The sequence below is a fragment of the Homo sapiens genome, unplaced genomic scaffold (assembly GCF_000001405.40).
Source record: "Homo sapiens unplaced genomic scaffold, GRCh38.p14 Primary Assembly HSCHRUN_RANDOM_CTG9".
Taxonomy (NCBI): Eukaryota; Metazoa; Chordata; class Mammalia; order Primates; family Hominidae; genus Homo; species Homo sapiens.
In genome coordinates, this window is record NT_113889.1 from 20,071 (window position 1) to 43,017 (window position 22,947).

The 22,947-nt window shown below is 46.6% G+C and overlaps 1 long non-coding RNA gene and 1 pseudogene across 5 annotated transcripts in view; one reads left to right on the forward strand and one right to left on the reverse strand.

Moving 5' to 3' along the window:
- Positions 1-215: 215 nt before the first annotated feature.
- On the forward strand, positions 216-22,233 carry LOC101927088 (uncharacterized). Of its 3 annotated transcripts, XR_007068495.1 has the most exons (5): positions 216-298; positions 3,511-3,782; positions 9,201-9,438; positions 14,282-14,361; positions 22,007-22,233. It is a non-coding gene; the product is annotated as an uncharacterized LOC101927088 (long non-coding RNA). The 3 variants fall into 3 exon arrangements; XR_949092.4 differs by lacking the exon at positions 216-298 and having other exon boundaries at positions 3,467-3,782; XR_007068496.1 differs by lacking the exon at positions 216-298 and having other exon boundaries at positions 3,467-3,782; positions 22,010-22,233.
- LOC100233156 (tektin 4 pseudogene) overlaps positions 18,720-22,947 on the reverse strand; it is a 58,668-nt pseudogene continuing 54,440 nt past the window's right edge. The window contains exons 3-5 of one of the 2 annotated variants that reach the window (NR_037871.2): positions 20,572-20,802; positions 19,804-19,958; positions 18,720-18,949 (exon numbers count right to left, since the gene is read on the reverse strand). The product of NR_037871.2 is annotated as a tektin 4 pseudogene, transcript variant 1 (transcript). Of the gene's footprint in view, positions 19,959-20,571; positions 20,803-22,947 lie in introns of both variants that reach the window. The other variant, NR_037872.2, reaches the window with a different exon arrangement.

Sequence of the window (22,947 nt, forward strand, 5' to 3'; positions counted from 1 at the left end):
TTTCTAAAGTAAAAGTTGTTTTTTTCTCACTAAATGCATGGTATTCTGCCCATTTTCCATGGCTTCCCTCAGCCCTGCTCTGTTTATTCTTGCTATCTTAAGAGGAAATCCCTGCCTCTTCCGTGGCTTTTCCCACTTGGTCTACTTACTGGTTTCTGTTGTTCTCAGAGACACACTGAGACCTTTCACATCTCACTGTCACTTCTTGGAAGGGCTCTCTACCTCGTCTGCCTGCTAAGCAACCTCTTGGGGAGATGTGGGCACTCCTGAGTCACTGAACTTGAGCTATTTGGTGTTGGTATGTTAATTTATCTTCTTAGACCACTTACCACTTCCTTAACTTCAAAAGAGAAGAATAAGTATTATTTTCCATGGTCGATATGAAGAGTAGAAATAACTTATACAAAATGCATTGCAGTTAAGTGATAATAAATGGCCGTGAATGCCCTTAATAATGTTATTCTATCAGTCTCAGCTCAGATACCATCTGCTTTGTGAGCTCTGCTCTGAATCATATCTGCTTCTTCTCTGGGTTTCTTGTGCTCTGTTCTTAACTACTTTAAAGCAGTAATTGTTCTGATTCTAATTAGTGATCCTTCCCAATAAAATTTTAATTTCGTAGATCTCTTCCCCCCACCCCTGCCCCAGCCTAACCAGTGTTTTCTTACTTTTTTGTGTACAGGCTACATCACTGGTCTTCTTTTATTTGTGGCTAAATAAATGTTGTGTTAGAAGAGTAAAGAGTTCCCAGTTACATGGGATCTATAGTTCTACAAAATGAATATATACATAATCCATGTAAATATTTCACTTATTTTGACAAATTTTAATTTTTAAATTAAATTTAATTTGTTCATGTGTGTGAGACCAGAGTGAGAACAGAGATGGCGGCGGTGAGGGGCGGTGGTCTCACCATGTTGCCCAGGCTGGTCTTGAACTCCCCTTCAAGTGCCCCCCTCCTCACCTGGCCCCCCTCACCTTGCCTCCTCCCCTCTCACTCCTATGCCAGCCCCTGCCATTCCCCACCCCCTCTGTAGACTGCAAGACTCAACAAGTGACTTGCTGAGCAAACCCTGCTGAGAAGAGGTCTGTTTAGGGACACAGGAGGCCAAGTACACAAAAAAGCAAAAGAACTAGCATGCCTTTTTCAATGGATGTCTATTTTACAGGGCTGGCTTCAGATTATTGTTATAGCTTTAAATAAAAGGACCGTTTTGTCATCTTGGCCCATGACCTACTTATTTCTTTACTGTCCATTGCCCTGGACGCTTGACTAATAATTTAACAGCAGTTTTTTTTTAAAATTTTAAATCATGATTCATTGCATTGCTGTAAGAGTAATTAGAGGTAAAGTAGGGCTTGAAACTGCCTGTAGTTGGTTACTTACTGAGTTCTTAGCATAATTGTCAGGTGAGAGGTTGAAGTTTTAATTAGCGCTAAGTGGGATAGAAATTCAATGCACTGAAACTGCAGTGTCCAATTCAGTAGGCGCTAGCCACTTGTAACTGTTGAACACTTGGAATCCTGGCTAGTCCTAATTGAGATGTGTTGTGTTAAATACACTGGATTTTGTCATTGGAGTGGGAAGAACAGTGTAGAATAGCTGCTTGATTTTTTTTTATATTTATTACATGTTAAAATTATTACTATGATTACTATTTGGGACATACTGAGTTAAGTATATTTAAAATTAATTTCACCTTTTCTTTTAATGGGGCTTACCAGTACATTTAAAATTACGTACGTGGCTCACATATTTATTGGACAGCACGTCTCTAGAAATTTAGGAAGAAATAAGAAAAATATTGAGAATAGGTAGCGACAGTAGGAAGTTTGTCCTCCTGTAAGACTGATTCCAATAAAACTAATAGGTGATAGTTTTAATTGGCTTTTTCCTACTAGAAAAAGTAAGTGTACTTTACATGCCTCTTTGTTCTCCTTCTTTCCCCTTCAATTTAGTGGTTAGCATGTATTTACTACATCAGGCTTAATATTCACTAAGCAGTGTTAAGAAGACTTAGGTAAATGATTCCCTGATGAACACACTTGATTTTCAAAGCACTTTCCTAACCCATTTTTAATAGGAATAGAGTCAAAGGTAGAAGGCTTATTAGTAGTCATCTCATTTAAATCTCATGGAATTTTCCCGCTAAATCTCAAAGTAAACAATTTGTTATAGGCTGTTTTGTCAAGTGTTTGGAAGGGACAGCATAAGACATGTGGTACTTCATTTCCAAATTGCTTGAGATGTTTTTCATTATAATCATACATTATTTGCTTCTGGTTTTCCGGAAAAGCCAGCTAAGCCTGTGGTTCATTTAGATATAAATGAAATATCCTCAAAGGATTTCTCAAAGTGACTTATGCAACTTGAATATATATTTGTTCTGTAGGGTGTTTATTCCAAATTACCTGGCCATTTGCTGCAATTTGCAGTTTTTTAGAAAACACCAAATATTTCTCAATTTAGAGATGTTTTAATAAAAACAGTCATATTGAACTGGCAGCAGCCAAATAAAATAGCCCTTTATTTCACAGTTCAGAATTTGAAATTGGAAGGTAATTAACATATGTAAGGATGATATATTTGCTGCCTGGCTTATAGGAATGAGCCAAGTTGTTTTTTGAGGGATGTTGTTGCTGTGTATGTCCCACCTATTTTGCTTCCTTAATGAACAATGCAAGTTTGAGACAGAAATATTTGAGAACATTTTTATCAGTTGCAACACTTTGATAGTGAACATTTTATATCTTCTGTCAACTTAAAATGTTTGCATCTTCTGTCAGCTTAAAATGTTTAATTTGTTATAGCCAAATAATTTGGCTATAATTGATAATTTAATTTATCAAATTAAATTGCTTTTTTTCCCTTTAGACTTTCTTCAGTCACATCTGAATAAATCACTTAGAAGTAAGCTAGATGTAATATAATGAAATGCTTAAAAGGGCTGTGTATCTTCATATTACACTTACAGTGATTTTCTGTTGTACGCATTATATTCTACCTGCAGCTAGTTGAGGAAAAGAGAGGGCATTTAACTGCCAAGGGAACCTGAGAGGAGACTGTAGAAATCTGGAAAGTCTCTCGGGTCTTTGAGGGACTTTGGGATGCAGAGAGTGGGGCTGGGATCTCTGGCTAGGTTGGAGCCAGCCTGCATTTGTATCTTTATCTTGGAAGCAAACATAGAATGCAGAGTTAGATATGGTCTGGATGCTGCTAACTCTAGCCAACCACTAAATCTTAAGGTGGGAGAGATGCAGGCTTTGGCTGGGTGCTAAGCTGCTGTAGCTGGTTGAATGTAGAGGTCACTATCTTTTCTGAATACTTGTAAGTAAATTAAATCATTCTCTACTCCTGTATGCCTGCCAACCAAATGGGAAATCGCTATAGAAAAGATGGTTTAAATTTTAGTCTTTGAAGTGGTTTATGCACGTTTCTGGAATCAAGATTTAATGCCGACTTGGATTGGATATTGAATATTTTTTATTTGTCTACTTTTCTCTCCATAGGGAGCTTATAGCTTCATTGCACTGTGTGTGGCATTTGGGTCCTGTTTGGCAGCAATGACTGCCTTTCTGTTTAGTGTCTGTGTGCTATGAAGATTGCACACAGGGGTCCAAATGCATCCTGTTTTGAGAATGTCAATGGATACACCAGTTGCTGCTTTGGATTTCACTGGTTGGTGGTAGTTGACCCACTGTTTGGAATGCAGCCAATTTAAGTGAAGACATATCCATATATGTGGCTCTGTTACAGTGGTGAAATCTGCAACCATAAGAAGGTAGGGAAAAAGAAGCCAGATGTCTGGATGTGATTAAACTTCAGAGCTTGTTGATTACGATGATATTATATATTCTGTATCATGCTTTTTACTTTGCAAAGCATTCTATGTTATCTCATTTGCTCTAAGTATGTAGACAGGGAACTGATGAATAAAATGGTGAGTGAAATCACTTGGTCACAAAAAAAGTGATAAAAATGGGGATTACACAGTTTCTTTGACGCTTAGAATTTTTTCTCCTTCTCCCCAGCTTTTTGTTTTGAAAAAAATTCTAACATACAGAAAAGAACAGAATAGTGAGCACCTAGATTGAATAATCATTAATGTTTTGCCATATTTGCTTGATTTTTCTTTCTACACACACACACACACACACACACACACACACACAGTTTTTTTGCCAAATCATTTGAGAGTATGGTGCAGATTTTGTGACACTCCTAAATATATAAGCTTTTATCTCCTAAGAATAAGGACATTTTTCTACATAACATCAATACCATTATTAAACCTAAGAATCCATAATATCACCTGGCTGGGTGCGGTGGCTCACACCTGTAATCCCAGCACTTTGGGAGGCTGAGGTGGGTGGATCACGAGGTCAGGAGGTCGAAGCCATGCTGGCTATCACGGTGAAACCCCGTCTCCACTAAAAATACAAAAATAAAATATCAGCCAGGCATGGTGGTGGGCACCTGTATTCCCAGCTACTCGGGAGGCTGAGGCAGGAGAATGGTGTGAACCTGGGAGGTGGAGCTTGCAGGGAGCCAAGATTGAGTCACTGTACTTTAGCCTGGAAGACAGAGCAAGACTCTGTCTCAAAAAAGAAAAAAAAAACATAATGCCACCTAATATCCAGTTTATACTTAAATTTCCCTAAGTGTCTGAAAAATTTTTTTTTTTTGAAACAGAGTCTCAACTTTGTCACCCAGGATGGAGTGCAGTGTTGCGATCTCAGCTCACTGCAACCTCTGCCTCCCGGGTTCAAGCAATTCTCCTTCTTCAGCCTCCTGAGTAGCTGGGACTACAGGCCCACCTGTCGCCATGCCTGGCTAATTTTTTGTATTTTAGTAAAGACTGGGCCCAGGGTGGTCTGGAACTCCTAAGCTCAGGCAATCTGCTCACCTTGGCCCCTCAAAGTGCTACCAAGAATATCTTTATAGCTGGTATTTGTTTGTTTAGAGACAGATTTCATTCAAGATTCATGCATTTGGTTGTGATGTTTCTTGGTATTTTTTCTGAGACTTCTTGATAGATACCTGTCATGCACTGATAGAGAGTTATATCCTAACCATGTTTTGGACATTTTTATCTCTGAATAATAGCTTTTGTCATTGTTTGTTGCCTGCTCACGGGAACACTCTTAATAATAGTCTTCTTCTTCAAAATTTTTAAAAGAGTTATTCAAGAAATTCCTTTCACACATTTCTTTATTCCTTTATTAAGGTCTTAATATGCACCAGACATCATTTTTCTAGGTGATTGTAGATGAAATGGTGAAAAGGAAAGGCAAGAATGGAATTTCCTGCTAGTGGGAAGTAGAAGAGAGTATTAAAACTTTTTTCTTTCCAAGTCAAATCAGTGTCATATACATGAGAAAGCTAGGTGGTATGATGGCATTATCAGCTTGGCTTTCTCCTTAAATGAAATAGAAAGTGCCCTGTTTTACTCAGACAGTGTTTTTTTTTTCTAAAAAGCTAAAAGAAGTTAAATATTTTGAAAACAATTAATTTCTGTTCTAAATTATTCAAATGTTATATTTGTAAAACTAGAGAAGTTTGTTCCATTGCTTCTACCAAGCATCTCAGCTTATGTAGTTGGGGCAGCTAGAAATCTAATGAACAGAATGTATATTTTAGGCTTATATAAAGTATTCTGCAACATAAGTTCAAAAATACCCCCTACCCCCTTTTTGATAAAAATAAAGTTTACTACTACTAATAAAATACAGCCAGAGGTGTGCTGGGAGTGGAGGGGGACTGAGTGAAAGAAAGTAGGAACGGGGTAAAGGCTGGGGCAAAGAGCAGGCTCTCTCCCTGCAGGGGAATATCAGGGGCCTGAAGCCAAGTTAAATGACAGCATGACTTCAGGAGGCCAGATTTGAGGGCTTTTATCTAAAATGCAGCATCGGAGTTTGGTTTAAGAGAGTAGGAAGTGATACATCTGTTACCCAAAGGACTCTTCTCTTTTTTAAATAAATTACCTGCAGAGTTTAGGCCAAAGAGGTGGGCAAGGTAGATTTGGGAAACTGTTGCTTGCTAATATCACCAAACGCTTTCTTTTTATACCTGGTGGAGGCTTTAATTGGGGCAAGGACATTTTTATATAAAGATAGAGAAAACAATCGCCTATGGAATTTGATTCCTTGCTCCATGCCCTCGCTAGCACCTCTCAAGATGCTTGATGATATTTAACATTTCTTCATAGGGAAAAAACTTTTCACCCCACAATTAGAATCAGGCTTAACTTTCTTTTTGAAAAGGTAGTATGTAATTTTTGTTAAGATATAAATTACCAAGATTTTTATATCTTGAAACAGATTTAGATGATAGAGTGGGGTAGGTGGTGGTTGGTGGGAAGGGGTAGTTTTTTAGAGAGGGTATTAAGAGTTGGAAATTTCAATGTGAGAGAGGTGAAGGTTTGAAAATAAGTAAGAAAAGCACTAAAAGGCTGAAGTCAAGGGCCTCTGAGAGCCAGGATGATAGATTCTATTTCACAGTTTAACACAGGATCAGCATAGACCAAAGCAAGTTTGTAACTAAGGCAATGAAGATCATCTGTCTCCTCCCTTCCCCATTAATTGTGAACTTTAGTTTTATAAGCTCCTAAGAGGCAGAAAACAAATTGGAGCCTCGTCTTCTATTTGGGAGTGTATGGCATGTATTTATTGTCCTAGGTGCTGGGTTTATTTCTTTCAGCTAATGACAGTTTTCCATGCTTTATGGTAAGTGACCATAAAGTAAGTGGTAAGTGACTTACCCTTCAGGCAGTTCAGCCCAGGACAGTCAGCAGAAGACTGTTTCCAGACCCCACCTGCTAGTTACAGATCATCCCTGATAGAGCAGAGAGGGGTGACCAGGTAGTGACTTTATAGTCAGTGGAGGCAAAGCCCATTTTTGGACAGTTCATTGAGGGCTTACAGATAAAAGGTTCACAAATTATGCAGTGAGCTGGATGGAGTGTGAAGCGTATTTATGGGTCGTGCACATACATAATAGGTTTACTTTTTGAGATTTGAAAACATGTTTTAACCTTAACCTAGGATTCCCACCTGATTTAAACCTCTTATTTGTCTAATGTCAGCCAAAAATGTGAGTATGACATACAAAGAGAAATACATCAAGGACTTTTCATCCTCAAAGTTTGCCAGTGATGGTGGAGAGTGTCAGAATTGGTGAGTAGCCTAATCAAACTTTTTTGCTCTGCATGCAGTGGCAGACAGTCCCTTTGCTGTTCCTTTGGGACATGCAGACTATTAAAGTGCCACCATCATTTTATCTCTCAGTGAGCAGTAGTTTTAATGCTACTGCAGTGGTGGGCGCTCTGGGCGTTGTCATCCTCACCTGAGGACAAGCAGCTTTGTTTTGGATCATGTATCTGTTATTGTGATGGAGCCATTTATTTTTCAGGGAATGATGCCAAATGATGTTTGTCCCTTTGCTTTACATTTTTATAGCTAGGTCTTTGAAGCTGAACTGGAGGAACTTCTCAGCCAATACTGTCTTCTCAAACCAAAAGTTGACAGTTGCAGAAGACACGTTTTTTAGTGTCATGGCAACCAAGCAACATATTACCTTAAATTAAATTTAGAGGTTGAGCATCCCTAATCTGAAAATCTGAAATTTGAAATGCTTCAAAATCTGAAACTTTTTGAGCACTGACATGACACCACATGTGGATTTTGATGGATGTCCCAGTCAAAGTGCAGGTGAACAACACACAGTTTATTTGATGTTCTCTAGTGGAAAAAGACCCTCTCAGCCCCCTTCAGCTGCAGTATAACTTTTCTACACATGCTCAGATTTCCCCATGCAAGCACCCACACAAAGGGTCACAGAATGGCACATGTGCAAGCTGGACATGCCAATGGCAGGATCCCCACAGATGGGACCTAAGTGCATTACTCATTGTGTATTTTTGCTTATTCTCTGCTCTGTGGTGTTAACATACTGAAAATGTCAATAAGACCTGTAGGTATCCCTGCGAGCAGCAATGATAAGGAAAAGTAGAAACACTTAGAACACAGAAAGTCAAGCTGTTGGAGAAATTGGACTGTAGTGTAAAGGTATAGATGACATGGTGAAAATGTGTGATAGAGATATTGAAGATATTGAAGGACTAGAGCTACCTGCATTCATAACAGAACAAGAGGTCATGTCAGTTTATAAAATTAAAGAGAGACTTCCAAGACAAAAGCCCTTGATAATGAGGCAGATGACTCTGGAGAAACATTATAAAAAGCCATCTGGCAGAATGCCTCCTCAGCCTCAGAGGACTCACCTCCTAGTTGCTCAACTCCTGATATTTCTTCTCACCTAAAAAAAGAAAAAAAAAATACAATGTACAGTAACCTTTTAATCAAAACGCAGCCTTGTAGGTGGAGCCTGAAAGCTTGCCATTGTTTATACAGCTGTTTAACAGCTGATGCAGGTATTCTGGTGATGCTACTGTGTTGCTTATTATTTTTTACTGTATTAATGTCATGTCATATTTTTACTTATGTGTGAATAATTGTGTGAAAATGATTGCTCATCAGTAGCATATAAATTCAGAGTCAGAAATGATGGTCAGTGACATCAGACAGCCACAGATTTTCCACATGGAAGCTGAGATAGTGACACCTTTGCTTTCTGATGGTTCCATGTACACAAACTTTGTTTCATTCACAAAATTATTTGAAATATTATATAAAATTACCTTTAGGCTATGTGTATAAGATATATGAAACATAAGTGAATTTCACGTTTAGACTTGGATCTCATCGCCAAGATACCTCACGTAGATGCAAATATAAAATCCAAAAAAAAATTCCGAAACCCTAAACACTTCTGGTTCCAAACATTTCAGATAAGGGATACTCAATCTGCATATATAAAATATTTATGTATCACATACATAGTATGTATATAATATGAATTTCCATTCCTCTACAGGTTACTATTCTGGTACATTCCCATTATATTCTGTTTATCAGACTGCAACTAAAACTTTCATGGGTTCAGCTTTATGTTGAACAGAATTTGCAGAATTATGAGTTGAAGCAAACCCTAGTTTGATAATGCTATGATTCTCCTAAATCACCAAAGTGCATGAAATGATTTTAAGGCTCCAGAAATACTGAAGCAACTTTGTGATAAAAAATTATTAGTGGATGCACAAGGAGTCTATAATGTTTTGGTTTTGCTATTGCTTCCTAAGGTGCAGTACCAGTTTGAATTTGAATACCAGACCAAAGTGGATGGTGAGATAATCCTTCATCTTTATGACAAAGGAGGAATTGAGCAAACAATTTGTATGTTGGATGGTGTGTTTGCATTTCTTTTACTGGATTCTGCCAATAAGAAAGTGTCCCTGGACAGAGATACGTAAGGAGTCAGACCTTTGTTTAAAGCAGTGACAGAAGATGGATTTTTGGCTGTGCGTTCAGAAGCTAAAGGTAATAGTAAATTTATGTATAGATTTTCATTATTGTCTTGGTCGTGTGTTTTCTTTTAAATTATATCTGAAAATCTCTTAGCAATCCAGAATTTTACAAGTGACTAATTAAGTTGTGAGTTCTTACCTTTTTAAAAAAAACAGAGTAGTTTTACTCTCCTTTTCAGCACTTAAATTCCGTAATCCTTGAAGGATGGGTCTTTAGTGTAGTCATTTATTTTTGGTGTGCTAATATGCTCTGCATATAGCTTGATCATAAGTGCAGTTTTAAGTTTTCCTGTGTCATACTGTAATGATAGGGTTGGCTCTGCAATTATTGCCCTGCGGTGCTTTGCTGAAGTTATAGCACAGCAAATATTAGGATTTCTAAAACAGCTTTATTGGCAGTTCACATGCCATGTAATTCACCCACTCGAAGTATATAGTTCAGTGGTTTTTAGTATATTCACAGATGTTGGGAAACAACACTCCAATCAATTTTAGAATTGTTTTTCCACCTCAAAAAAAAATCCTATGCCCTTTAGCTTATTTTCTTTCTATTTATTTATTTATTTATTTTAAGAGATGGGGTCTTGCTCAGTCGACCAGCCCAGGCTGGAGTACAGTGGTGTAATCATAGCTTAGTGCAGCCTTGAACTCCTGGGCTCAAGCAATCCTCCCATCTCAGCCTCCCTAGTAGCTACGAGTACAGGCATGGACCACAACACCCTGCCTCCTGTGCCGTTTAGCTTTCAATTCTGTCTCTCTACATACATCATCTGCACCCCCGCAGTTGTAGCACTGGCAATCACCAATCTTTCTGCCTCTGGATTCCCTATTGCCTGTGTTTCATATAAATGGGATTATCTATCATATGGGCTTTTGTTACTGGATTCTTTCACTTGGCATAATGCTTGCAAGGTTTGTCTATGCTGTGACATGTATCAGTACTTACTTTTTATGGCCACATGATACTCTGTACATGGATACACTGGATTTTGTTTATGCACTTGTCAGTTGATGGATATTTAGGACATTGTTTACCCCTTTTGGCTATTATGAATAATGCTGCTATAAACATTGGTGTATAAGTTTTTGTGTAGACATTTGTCTTCGGTGTTTATCTAGGAGCAGAATTGCTCAGATGTATATAACTGTCTAATTGAGGAACTGCCAAACTACTTTTTGAAATGGCTGCATTATTTTTTATTCCCTCCAGCAGTGTATTAAAATTTAAGTTTCTCCACATCTTCACAAACACTTACTGTGTGACTTTTTAATTGTAGCTATTATAATGTATGTGAAATTGTATCTCCTTGTGGTTTTGATTTGTATTTTCCTATTGAAGGTAATGTCCAGTGTCTTTTCTCATGCTTATTGGCCATGTGTATATCTTCTTTGGGGAAATATTTGTTGAGATCTTTTGTCATTTTTTTTTCCTGCTAGGGATCATTTTATTTTAAAAACAATAGACTTTTTTTTAGCAGTTTTAGAAAAAATAGAGAGAAAAGTGCAGAGAGTCCACATATGCTCCCCTACAGTGCCCCCGCCCAGTTTTCCCAACTCTTAACACCTTGCACTACTGTGCTAAATTGATTAGATTTGATGAACTGATACTTATATCTGAAATTCATAGTTTACTTCAGGGTTCACTCTGTGTTTTATAGATTTTTGGATTTGACAAATGTATAATGTCATGTACCCACCATTATAGTATTATGTAGAACAGTTTCATTGCCCTAAAAATCTCCTGTGCTCCACTGAGTCATTCCTCCACCTCCTCTTCCTCCCAAACCCCCGGTCATTACTAATCTTTTTACTCTCTAATTTTGCCTCTCCCAGAATGTCATATAATAGATCATGTAGTATGTATCCTTTTCAGACTGGCTTCTTTCACCCAGCAGTATACATTTAGGGTTCTTCTGTGCTTTTTCATGGCTTGATAGCTCATTTTTTAAATTGCAGAATAATATTCCATTTGTTTGCATGTATTGCAGTTTGTTTATCCATTCTTGAATTATCTATCTCTAATTGGGTTGTTTTGTCTTTTTATTACAGAATTGTAATTGTTCCTTATGTATGCCAGACACAAATCCCTTGTGTTCATCAGGGTTGCAGGATTCAAGATCAATATACAAAAATCAATAGTATTTGACACACTTTAACTGAATACTACATACTCACAATGAGCAATCAGAAAATGAAATTAAGAAAGCAACTTCATTTATCATAGCATCAACAAGAATAAAATACTAATAAATTTAAGAAGTGTAAAACTTGTACTCTGAAAACTATAAAACATTGTTGAAAGAAATGAAAGAAGATCTAAATAAATGTAAAAGTATCCCATGATCATGAACCTAAGGCTTAACATTGTTAAGAAGGCAGTACTCCCTAAACTCATCTACAGATTTAACTTCATCCCTGTCAGAATCCCAGATGAGTTCTCTGTAAAATCGACAAGCTGACTCTGAAATTCATATGGAATTGCAAGGGACTAAGAATAGCCAAAATAATCTTTTGAAAATGAGAAACAAAGTAGAAGAACTCATACTTACTGACTTTAAAACTTACTACAAGACAATGGTAATCAGGACAATATAATACTAGCAGAAGGATAGATGTATAGACCAGTGGGATAGAATTGAGAGTCAGATATGAACCCGTACATATATAACCACTGCTTTTGACAAGAGTGCCAAGATTATTCAGTGGGGAAAGAAGTTTGAGAACTGGCACAAGGACAACTAGATATGTAAACATATGCAAAACCTGGAGTAGGACCTTTACCCAACACCATATACAAAAACTATGGGTGCAAAGTAATTGGATCAAATGGATCCATTTTGAGCTAATCCACATAAATGTAAGGACTAAAACTATAAAATCCTGAGAAGCAAACATAGAAGTAAATTGTCATGACCTTGAATTTGGCAAAGTTTTCTTAAATATGAGACCAGCAACAAGAATAAAAATTGATGAACTGGACTTCATCAAAATTAAACATTTTTGCACTTCAAAGGACACCATCAAGAAAGTGAAAAGACAACTCACAAGATGGAAGAAAATACTTGTAAATCATGTGTAGCACTTTTTGATGATAAACTTGAGGAAGACTTTTTTATTTCTTATTTTTATTATACTTTAAGTTCTAGGGTACATGTGCACAATGTGCAGGTTTGTTACATATGTATACATGTGCCATGTTGGTGTGCCGCACCCATTATCTCATCATTTACATTAGGTATATCTCCTAATGCTATCCCTCCTCCCTCCCCCCACCCCACGACAGGCCCCGGTGTGTGATGTTCCCCATCCTGTGTCCGAGTGTTCTCATTGTTCAATTTCCACCTATGAATGAGAACATGTGGTGTTTGGTTTTCTGTCCTTGCGATAGTTTGCTCAGAATGATGGTTTCCATATATATATATATAGTCAGTTGCTAGGACTGCTGGGCAAGCCTGGGAAAGAGAGTACCTGGGGAAAGCAGCCTCCTGCTCCCCCGTGCCTTCTTTGAGCCTGATGTTCATTTGATGTGGTACTATATAATCACATCCAGTTTACCCTTTGAAATTCCTTGATTTTTCTTTTCTATATCCTTGACACTGTCCTTTTACAGACCACATAATCTTATCTGGAATACTACAACAGTTTTCTTTTCTCAGTGCTTTTAGAATAACCTGTCAAAAACTCATCTGACTATAGTAGTACCTGCTTACAACCTTTTAATTACTCCCCATTCCCTACCAGGCTGTGTAACTCACTTGAGCTCTGCTAGGTGGTGAGGGAATCTGGGTCCTTTTTCTGGTATTTGAATTCAGTGCTACGTAGGTTACTGGCTGGGTTGACAATCTCAAATTGTAAATCATGAGTATATATGTAGATAGTCTGTCACGATTTACAATAAAACATTGACATGTCAGAGATCATGGTGATGTGAGGTTGGGTACTGTCTGTGAGAATTAATTGAGGAAATTTAAATTATATGGTTTTATTTACATAGAGTGTATAACAACTAGTTAAGGGATAGATGTCTTCTTATCTGACTTTCAAGTATCTAAGAGTGGATTATTGTGCTTGTTAAAGTTCTGGGAACCATGGATATTTTCTGAAAATACCTCAGTGATGAGAAATGAATGACTACCAGCCTCTCATAACATTAGGACTCCAGTTCATCCCTTTGCTTCATAAGTGTGTCTTTTCCTTTTGTATATATTTGCTTTAGTGTAGAAAATAGGTTTTCTTGATTAGAAATCTAAAAAGAATAAATTGAAAACTGGAGATTTTTCTATTGCTTTGGATTACCAAAATTAATGTAATTTGGCAGTATATCCCTGTGCCATTATTGTCTCTCTGGTAAGTAGATGGTAGGGTTTTGGGTGATTAAATTTTTTTTTTCCTATTTTGCTTATTTAATGGGCATGTGTTTGTATTAAAAAGGGGAAAATACATAGGAATGTAGAAGATGTTAACTAATCGTGAAAGTTATTGGGAAGGGTTACCTAATTTAAAAGTTGGCCAGCCATGGCAACACTGTCTGTAGTCCCAGCTGTGGGGGAGGCTGAGGCAAGAGGATGGCTTGAGTTTAGAGGATGGAGGTTACAGTGAGCTATGATTGTGCCACTGTACTTCAGCCTGAGGGACAGAGCCAGACCCTGTCTCAGAAAAACCTAGAACAACAACAAACAGAGAGAGGAGCCTGGACGAATTGAGCAATATTAGTGTCCAGGAGCTGCTGTAGTGATGGCTTACAACATCAGGAATTTATTCTCTCACAGTTCTGGAGGCCACAAGTCCAAAATCAAGGTGTGGGCAGAAATGCACTCCCTCTGCAGACTCTTGGGGAGGATTCTTGTTTCTTCCAGCTCTGCGACTGTGGTGCCTGCAGCCATTGGAACCAGCTCTGCACGGCTCAGACCTGGGTGATGAGGACACAGCTTTGCAGGTGGGCAGCCACATCCCCAAGGGGAGACTGTGGGCCTGTGACAGGATAGGGGCAAGCAGGGCAGGGGCTCCCCATTGTTGCTCCTGAGCTCCTGGGGCTCGTGGAGAAAGACAGGTGGATGCGCACATACTGCAGCTCCCTGGATCTGAGCCTTGGTTTCCTTACCTGTGAAATGGGCACCCAAGGCAGCTCAGAAGTGTCTGGGAGCATCCCCTGTGGGGGAAGGTGTGGGGGGCTGCTGGGCCACAGTCATGGGGAACCCCAGTCCCCCTCTCCATGTGCTTCCTTCAATGCTCCCTGATGCCAGAAGACCTGCCCCTGAACAGAGAAGGGCATTCTTGTGAGATCCTTGTGTGGGGGTTTGGTCACAGAGACTCCCCAAGTGCAGGGCAGGGTGGAGGGAGGCTGAAGGGTGGTTGAATGGACAGGAGAAGAGCTCTCTCCAGTCCCTAGGGTCTGGGTGGCCTGGGGAGCATCCATTTGGGCAGGCAGCTGGCAGGGCTGGTGGCTGAGCCACTGTGGCTCGGGGACCCCAGGTGTCTCCTGGACAGAAAGAGCCCTGGTCACTCATGGCTGCAGCATAGCCATGGCGACAGGAAAGTGCTGCTGTACATTGTGCTCCTGGGGCTGGCTCCCAATGGACACCCAATGGTATCTCCCCCACTGTAATCTGGGATGCTGGCAGGGGTGATGGGCACTGGGGTAAGAGCCTTGGCAAGCCCTTCGCTCCCTGGGTGTGAGACCTTGGGCTCCTGGATGCCTGGGTTTCTGTGTCCTATTTTTCCCATGGAAGATGTTTGGGGTGCTCCCACGAAATGGGGAGGGCCCTGGGGGGTCAGGATTGTATTATTAAAGCCAGAAAGTCTGGGGTTCCATTTTTAGCACAAGGCAGGCAGCCCATGAGCCACAGCCCAGTGGCCAGCCTGTGTGGGAGGGGAGTGGGGGTCTGAAGGAGTGAGGATCCTGTTACCGCAGGCTCCACTGCAGCCCTCCAGGGTGGCCGTGTGGGCTGGACAGTGGGCACTGCACCAGGGGCACTGGCGCCGACCTTGAGCCATGCATCTGATGCCTGTGAGAGTGATCTCTAGGAGCCACTGCACAGGGGGCAGATGAGGGAACCCCGACATGGGACAGCCGAGGGCGACCCCAACACGGAGGGGGCAGCTGTGTCCAGGCTCCACTGGATTCCACAGAGGACAGAACACAGCTCTGACTCTAGGATGTGGGCTCACTGAGGGTCAGGACAGGCTGGGGTTGGGAGAGGGCTATGCTGCAGCTGGGCCACATCCCACCTGCACCCCTCAGATGGCAGGGCCTGGATGTCTCCATCCCCACCCTGACCCGGTCAGTAACAGCCACAGGCCAGCAGCCCCCAGCAACCGCTCCCTCCCTGAACTGCCGGGGACAGGAGGTACCATAGTCTCTTCTAGGCAAGAGCTGCTGGAGCCTTCTTTATTCTTGTGCTAGAAGCCCAGGGTGGGGAGAGGAGCCTGAGAACAGCCCAGTGTGGGCATCCACCTTCCTGCCCACTTTGGAGGTCTGAATCACCTCCGGCCACTCTCCCAATCCCCAGGAGCCAAGAGGCTTCCTGGAGCAAGCCACACCTGATCTCCACCATGGGTAGGAGTTCAAGGCCAGGCCAACGGGGACTCCACAGAGGGGCCTGTGGGTTAGCTGCAGCTGCCAGTGTCCAGATGGCCTCAGGGGTGGGGGTTGGACAATCTGGAGGTCAGCAGGGAATTCAGCATGAGGAGACAGCCCTTAGGGCTCTGGCCCAGCAGCCCCAGGTGCTGGCTCTGCACTGAGTCATGAAGTTTGTGGGCCAGGGGCGTTGGCCTCTCTCTAGCTGGGAGTGACTTCCATCACTGCTGTCATTAGCCTCCCCTGCATCAACCTGTCCCTGGGGTGGGAGCACAGTGGGCGCAGGGACCGTCAAGCCTCAGTTTTCCCTGCTGTAAAATGCATGTGATAGTGAGGCGGTCATGAGGCCTGAAGGAGTTAAAACCTGCCATGTGATCAGGATGGCACCTAGCTCGGTGCCTCCTAGCCTGGTGCCACCATCCGGCATCAGAGATGAAATACGTCTCCCAGGCCCCCTCCCCTGGCATCCTCCACACTCAGCTCTCCATCAGCCACACCCTCCAGGGTGGGACAAGGAGGTCCTGAGACTGATGGGGACCCGACAGGGCTGGGCAGCACCACCTGGGCCTAGGCGATAATGGGAGCCTGAGTGTGGGGCCTGCAGGGAGGGAGCCATTGTTTCTTGGGCTTCTTAGTGGCTACTTCCCTAAAGTCTGGGAGAAGTACTGCTGCTCAAGAGGGGACAGTGCCAGCAGCTCCCTCTGAGGCTGGGGTGGGCACAGCATAGGGGGTCCTCACCCCCACCCACCTCCCATGGAGGTTCCTGGCTCTCTTGGAGGACTCCTCGCTACTGTGCTGAGGCTGGCACCAGGGCTGACCAGGCCCAGGATGGTGTTGGACCACCTGCATCCCCCTGCAGCAGGCAGGGAGGGCACTGCAGACACCACCCTCCCACAGCTGACCCCTCCCTGGCCATCGTGTCTAGGGTGGCAGGGTGTGAAGCCCCCACCCAACAACCTCCCCCAGCTCAGGGGCCTTTGAGTTCACCACCATCTGCCTCACTGCAGGTTTTCCCTGTGCTGGGTGGGGGTGATTGCAGGGAGATGGTTCTTTGGTATTCCCTGGGCAGGTCATTGCCTCAGCCCCTGCCTGGTGTCCTGGAACAGCTTTGAGGAGCTACATGGACAGGACACCAACTGTCTGCAGCCCCCAGGTGAGACTTGGCTGCTGTGTCCCACTGCCTCTGCTCCTGGCTGTCAAAGCCCCATGGTAACAGCATCCAGGGCGAATTTAAATGGCACCCCAAAGAATAAGAGTGGGCCTGGGTGTCACTGTAGTGACTGGTGGCTTGTGACAAGTAGTGTGGCTTCCGTGGTGATGGGAAACGACAGTTCCCCCTGAATCTGCACTGGAGAGAAGGTCCTGGAAGCTTTCGGGCCCACCCTCCAGGGTCTGTGTCTGCATCTCTGAGAGTGGCCGGGTGGGAAGAAGAATCCTCACTGCCTGGCAGTCGGGTTTGGAGCTGGGGAGGGCCGGGCCTGGTTAGCAACGAGCCTATCACAGTGAACCAGAGCTCAAGATAAAGCGAGAGGCCTAGCCCAGACACCTCCTTCCCTGGTCCCAGCCCCTGTGCCTTGGCCTGTGCGGTGGAAGCCAGGCTCCCTCCTCCAGGAAGTCTTCCCTGCACTGCCTGCTCACACACAGCCTCTCCCAGATTTCTCCCCATCCAGGCTGAGTAGGATTCCCAAGAAGGCTCCTCCCCGAGCCAACTGCCTGCAGTCAACATTATCACCTCCCCCAGTGAACGGCAGTAGTGTTTTTCGTCTTCAGCAGTGGCCTCTGGAGGGGTCCTAGCAGGTCGGGGAGAGAGGTCTGAGTTAGCCCCACGTGAAAGGCAGCCCATGCCTCTCCTCCCAGCAACCCCCAGCAGCAACTTCCACCTGGCTGACCCCACCCAGCTCACAGAGCTGCCCAGCTGGGTGTCCTTGTGGTTGATTGGGGGGAAGGGGCTGTTACCTCCCGGTCCCCTCCAGGCTGAGACAAGAGCCCTGTGGGCCTGGATCTTGCAGATGGGACCCCCACCCACATGCTCTCCAGGTGGATGCCCACCCTGGGCTGTTCTCAGGCCCCTCTCCCCACACTAGGCCCACACCCAGAAGGGAACTCCATGTACCCCTGCCGATCTGCCCATCTGCCCATCTGAGCCTCAGGGGTCCTGGGCACTGAGAGCTGGGCTGGGCTGAGCTCAGGTACACACTGTCATTGGGGACAGAGAGGGGATGCTGAAGTGGGTGCTTCTGCGTGGGGCCTGCCTGGAGGATCGCCACGGCAAGTGCACCCAGCAGCCAGACCAGCTTCTAGCAGAATAAGCGCACTGTCACAGGGGTATGTGAGCTGAGGCTGGGGGCCTGGAGGTGCAGGGGGAGGAGTTGGGGAGATGCAGAGGCCGCAAAGATGTCCCAAGGCCCTAAGACTCTGGTGAGGGAATGGAGGAGCCAGCACTGGTGGGGAACTGGGGAGGGGGAGCTGGGTGGCCTGGCTCTGAGCGGGACACACGGTCTGCGCCCACACTTGAGCTGTGCTGTGGAGCCCCAGTCCCCACCTGGGCATGTCCTGTCCTCTGAAGCACAGGGATTCCTCGTCGTCAGCTCTGACCCCTCTTCTCCAACTGTTGGGATGACGAGTCCATAGGCAGAGCCAGCCTCACAGGGGACCCAAAGGCCAGTTCAGATGGACAGCAACTGGAGGTCCCACCGGGCACACACACACACTGTGCAGAAAGCTAATGCACTGTTTATTTGGGGGATTGGGGGGAAGCACCGTGCCGCTGCTCACTGGTAGCCAGCCAGCTGCAGGATGGGGGTGTAGCAAGTACGATGGGCCATGCACTTCTGGCGGTCGATGAAGAGACTGTTGGTCATGGCGGTAACATCCTTCTCCAGGCTCATGTGGATGTCCTCGAGGTTGCAAAGGGACTGCTCCCCTTCTAGAAGCTTCTCCCACAGCGCTGTGATGGACATGTTCAGCTCCTCCACCTCACTCACCAGCTTGGGGGTGTTGGGTGTGTGAGCTGGGGCTGGGGAGGGCAGAAGTATGCACCTACCGGGGTGCAGGGGACCCAAAACTCCCAATGGGAGCTGGCAGGAGGTCCTGGGAAGACGCCATGAAAGGATCCCACCAGGAAAGCGGCTCTAGGGCAGAGCATAAATTACGAGGGTCCTCCCAGGGAGCGCGGGCCTCAGTGGGAATGAGTGACCCGCGTGCAATCTCGACCCTGACAGGACAGGACTGGCCTCAGCCGACCAGGCTCAGTTCTTTTCATTCCTGATATTTGACGGAAGGAGGCACCCAGTTCCTTGAAGGAACTGAGGGGCAGGGAAGGAAGAAAGGTACTTAGGCTCAGAAGGGGCCACCAGGCATCCGTTAACAAGGGAAACAAAAGGACGGCCCATCTATGCCTGTAGCCCAGGCGTAGGTCATACTTTCCACCAGAGGTGGGGACAGCACCCTCAAGGCAGCAGGGAATGGCCCTCTCTGGCCTCTCTGTCCCCGTGGCCTCCAGGAGCTCACCTTGTCTGAAGGAGCTTCCTCCCGGGAAGATGAGGTAGCACAGGGTGGGGTGAGACCACGTGGGCACAGGTCCCTGGCACTGGGAGGCCCCCGACCCATGACCTGCCCAGTGTCATGTCTATATCTGTGTGTTTAAGGCGTGCTTGCGTGTTGTGTGTGGCCGCAAACTCTCCCTCCCCTCTCAGCACCTGTGGGGGATGTGTGTGTGGAGATTGGAGTGTTTATTGGAGAGGGTCACAGCGAGGAGGTGGACGGGGGCACCTGGGACTGCCTCAGAGGCCCAGGCAGTACCTGAACTGGGCTGCTTCGCGGCACAGCTGCATGTTGGGCCGGTGTGAGAGCAGGTACAGCCGGGTCTGGGCTATGTGCAGAGGTTCCTCCTTGTCCTTGATGGCCTCCTTCAGTGCCACCACGTTGTGTTCCTGATCTGTGATTTCCCGCAGCATCTGCAGACAGGACAGTGCCCCTTGGGCCTGTGCCCCCATGCCCGGGCATATGGAATGTGGAGACCAGTCTGGTCCTACCCAGCTCCTGGGGCTGTGTCCAGAGGGTGGTCCTGACCAGTGGCTCTGGGGAGGCGTGGATGAGGGGAACAATGTGCACAGGGCCCCCAGCGGGCTCTGGAGAGTCAGGCAGCCTGTTGTCTCTTAGCTCTGGTCCAAGAACCCCCATCCTTGGTGGTCACCAGGACCCAAATCCTGCTCAAGGACTGGGGACTCAGAGGTGGTAAAGGCCATGCTGAGGCCCTAGAGTCAGAGCCCTGCCTGCCAGGCCAGGACTCTTGGGGACCTCCCAGGCAGTCAATGCTCCCCAGACCAGCTCCTGCCTCCATCCTCCCCACAGCTCCTCCTGCTCAGTCATGGGGGTTGCAACACACTGCGATCATACCCAGTGTCACCTGGTTTTACATAGGTTTACGGAGAGGTGACACTTGCTTCTGGGGTCCCTCGGGATAAGTGGGACAGAGGAGAAAGGTGTTGAGGGCCCAGGCCAGGTGATGAGAGGGGGCAGAGTGGTGGGCAGGCGCCGGAGCCGTCTTCGGGGTTCAGGGTGCCCCACCTTGTGCAGGTGGTGCTGCAGCTTGTGCCGCACGTCCTCCAGTTCCTCACAGCGGCGCCCGAAGGCCAGGTTCACGGCGTCACACTGGAGTCCCAGGTCCTCGGAGGTGTCGCGAAGGATGCAGTCCACAAGCACCCACAGGTTGGCCGAGTCCAGGCGCTCGCGCTGGGCGTGGCACAGATTGTCCTGTGTGAACTTGGTCCGGGTCTCTGGGGTGGAGGCGCTGCGGGGCTGGGGACAGCCAGGAGAGGGTCAGGGAGGCTCTGCCAATGGCTGGGGGCCCTGCCGCGCCCCCATTCCCTGTCTGCACCCCATGCTCCTGGAGGAACTGCATGGACTCCAATGCACCCCGTGCAGACCCACGAAGCCCAGTCCCCCAAGCTCCCTGCCTCCGAGTGCCCCCCGCCCACAACTCCCCTGAGTCCACCCACACCCTACCCACCCCGGGCACTTAGTCCCCTCCTGCCCCCGCGACCCCGTTCCCAGCACCGCTGCCCCCGAGGCCCCCTCTGCAGCACCTCTGTCTCCCGCAGCCCCCCTTCCCTAGTACCCAGCGCCCGCGTCCGCTTCTCGCACCCAGGAGTTTGCCATGCTCAAGTGGGCGGTGGTCGTGCTCCCTCTGCTGGCCTTGGGTGGAAATGCAATCCTGCCGGCGCCTGGGACTGACCGCATCCCACCCTGTCCTGTCTACGGGCAACCAGGCTGTGCACGCGCTGGGCACTTGAGGAGGTCTTGCACGCTTTCTCATGCCAGGGCAAACAGTTGCCCAAGTGCCCTCGGGGGCGAGGGCCTCTGGGCCAGGCTGGGGGAAGCAGCGCCGCTGGGGCCCCCAGGCAGAGGGAGGCGAGACCACAGCCAGGGCAAGCACGGGGACAGAGCTGGGGCCCCCATCTCTTGGAAGGTGGTGGAGTGCCGGATGAGCCTGCACCTCGGTGCTCTGGCTGTGGTGGCGCCCGCAAGTCTCGTCGAGGTTGTAGGCCTCCACCTTGTCCGACCAGTCCATCTCGCAGATCTCTGTGTGCTCTCGGTTCATTCTGGGGCGGGGTGGGGCAGGGCCTTGGTGTGTGGCCAGGGAGGGCCCCACTGGGGACCCTCCATGCTGCAGGCTAGGCCTTCATGCCCGCTTCAGGAGGGAGCTCTGGGCCGGCTGTCCTTGTGCTCAGCAGTGACGAAGAGCTGCCGCCCATGCTGGGAGGCTGCAGATCAGTTGTGGCACTGGGCTTTGGCCATTCAAACTCAGGCTGGGCTGGAACCTCCCCCACCCAGCCCTGTGCTTCCACTGTGACCTGGGACAGCCCCTGCCGGCTCTGAGCTTCAGGGTTCTGTCGTTCAATGCCTTGCCCCAGGACCAGCCGTGGGTGGGGTCAGGAGTCATCCCTTGGGCAGCCCTCGACCCAAGGGTCTGGCTCACTGCTTGCACGATGGCTCTCTTCAGCAGCTCCTGAATGTTCCGGATGGGCTCAGCTTCCTGAGGGAGGAGACGCCCTGAGCACCAGATCCGGTCCTTGGTGAGGATCCCAGGAGGCCCAGCTGCTGAAGGCCTTGGTCAACACCTGAGCAACCAGAAATAGTTGAATGCCGGGCCTGAGCTCTGACTGTGCAAGTTCTGCTCTCTCACTGGGTTTATCCTGGGCTTTTGGGCATTCTCCTTGGTGCGTTGTAAGTGGGTTGTTTTCCTCCAGGGCCTTCTATGGGCTGCTGGGAAGGTCCCTCAGTGGCAGTTCCCACGCCCCAGGCCTCAAGAGTCATCACTGCTGCTCACTCAGTGCACCCAGGAATGTTGGCCTGCCCCTGGCCTCTGGACAGCCCCCAAGGACCCAAACTCTGGGGGCCCAGATGCCCGCCCAGGCTGCCCCTCAGGGCTCTGTGTTGGGAAAGACCATCCTCACACCAAGAACAGGAGGAAGACCCTATGTTTCTTATTACTGCCTGGACAGTTTAATTTTCTGTGTGTAGGAACAAGCCTTTTTTCCCTGTGATTGTGGTCTTTGCTTCGACCACCAGCTACCTCCTTGTGTGCCAGGGCCCGAGTCCTGCACCCCTCTGTCCCTGGGTTTGCCTCTTCCTGCACTGTCAGTGTCTCCATCACTTCGCAGGCACCCTTGTTGCAGGCAGAGGGTTTGCGGGAGCTGCAGCAGTTCTTGAGGCACTGAGAGGGTGCAGGGGGATAGGCCTGCAGAAGGGGAAGGGAGGGAGGAGGGAAGGCATGAAGGGAGGGAGGGACTCAAGGGTTCTTGCCTGAGTTTGGGGGTATGGCAGGAGACCAGCTGCCTCCACCCCACATCTTTCACAAATGTCTACAGGCCTGTAGTGGTTCTCACGGAGGCCCCAGGCTCTGAGAGCTCAGGGAATTCTCCAGAGCCAGCATCAGGGCCA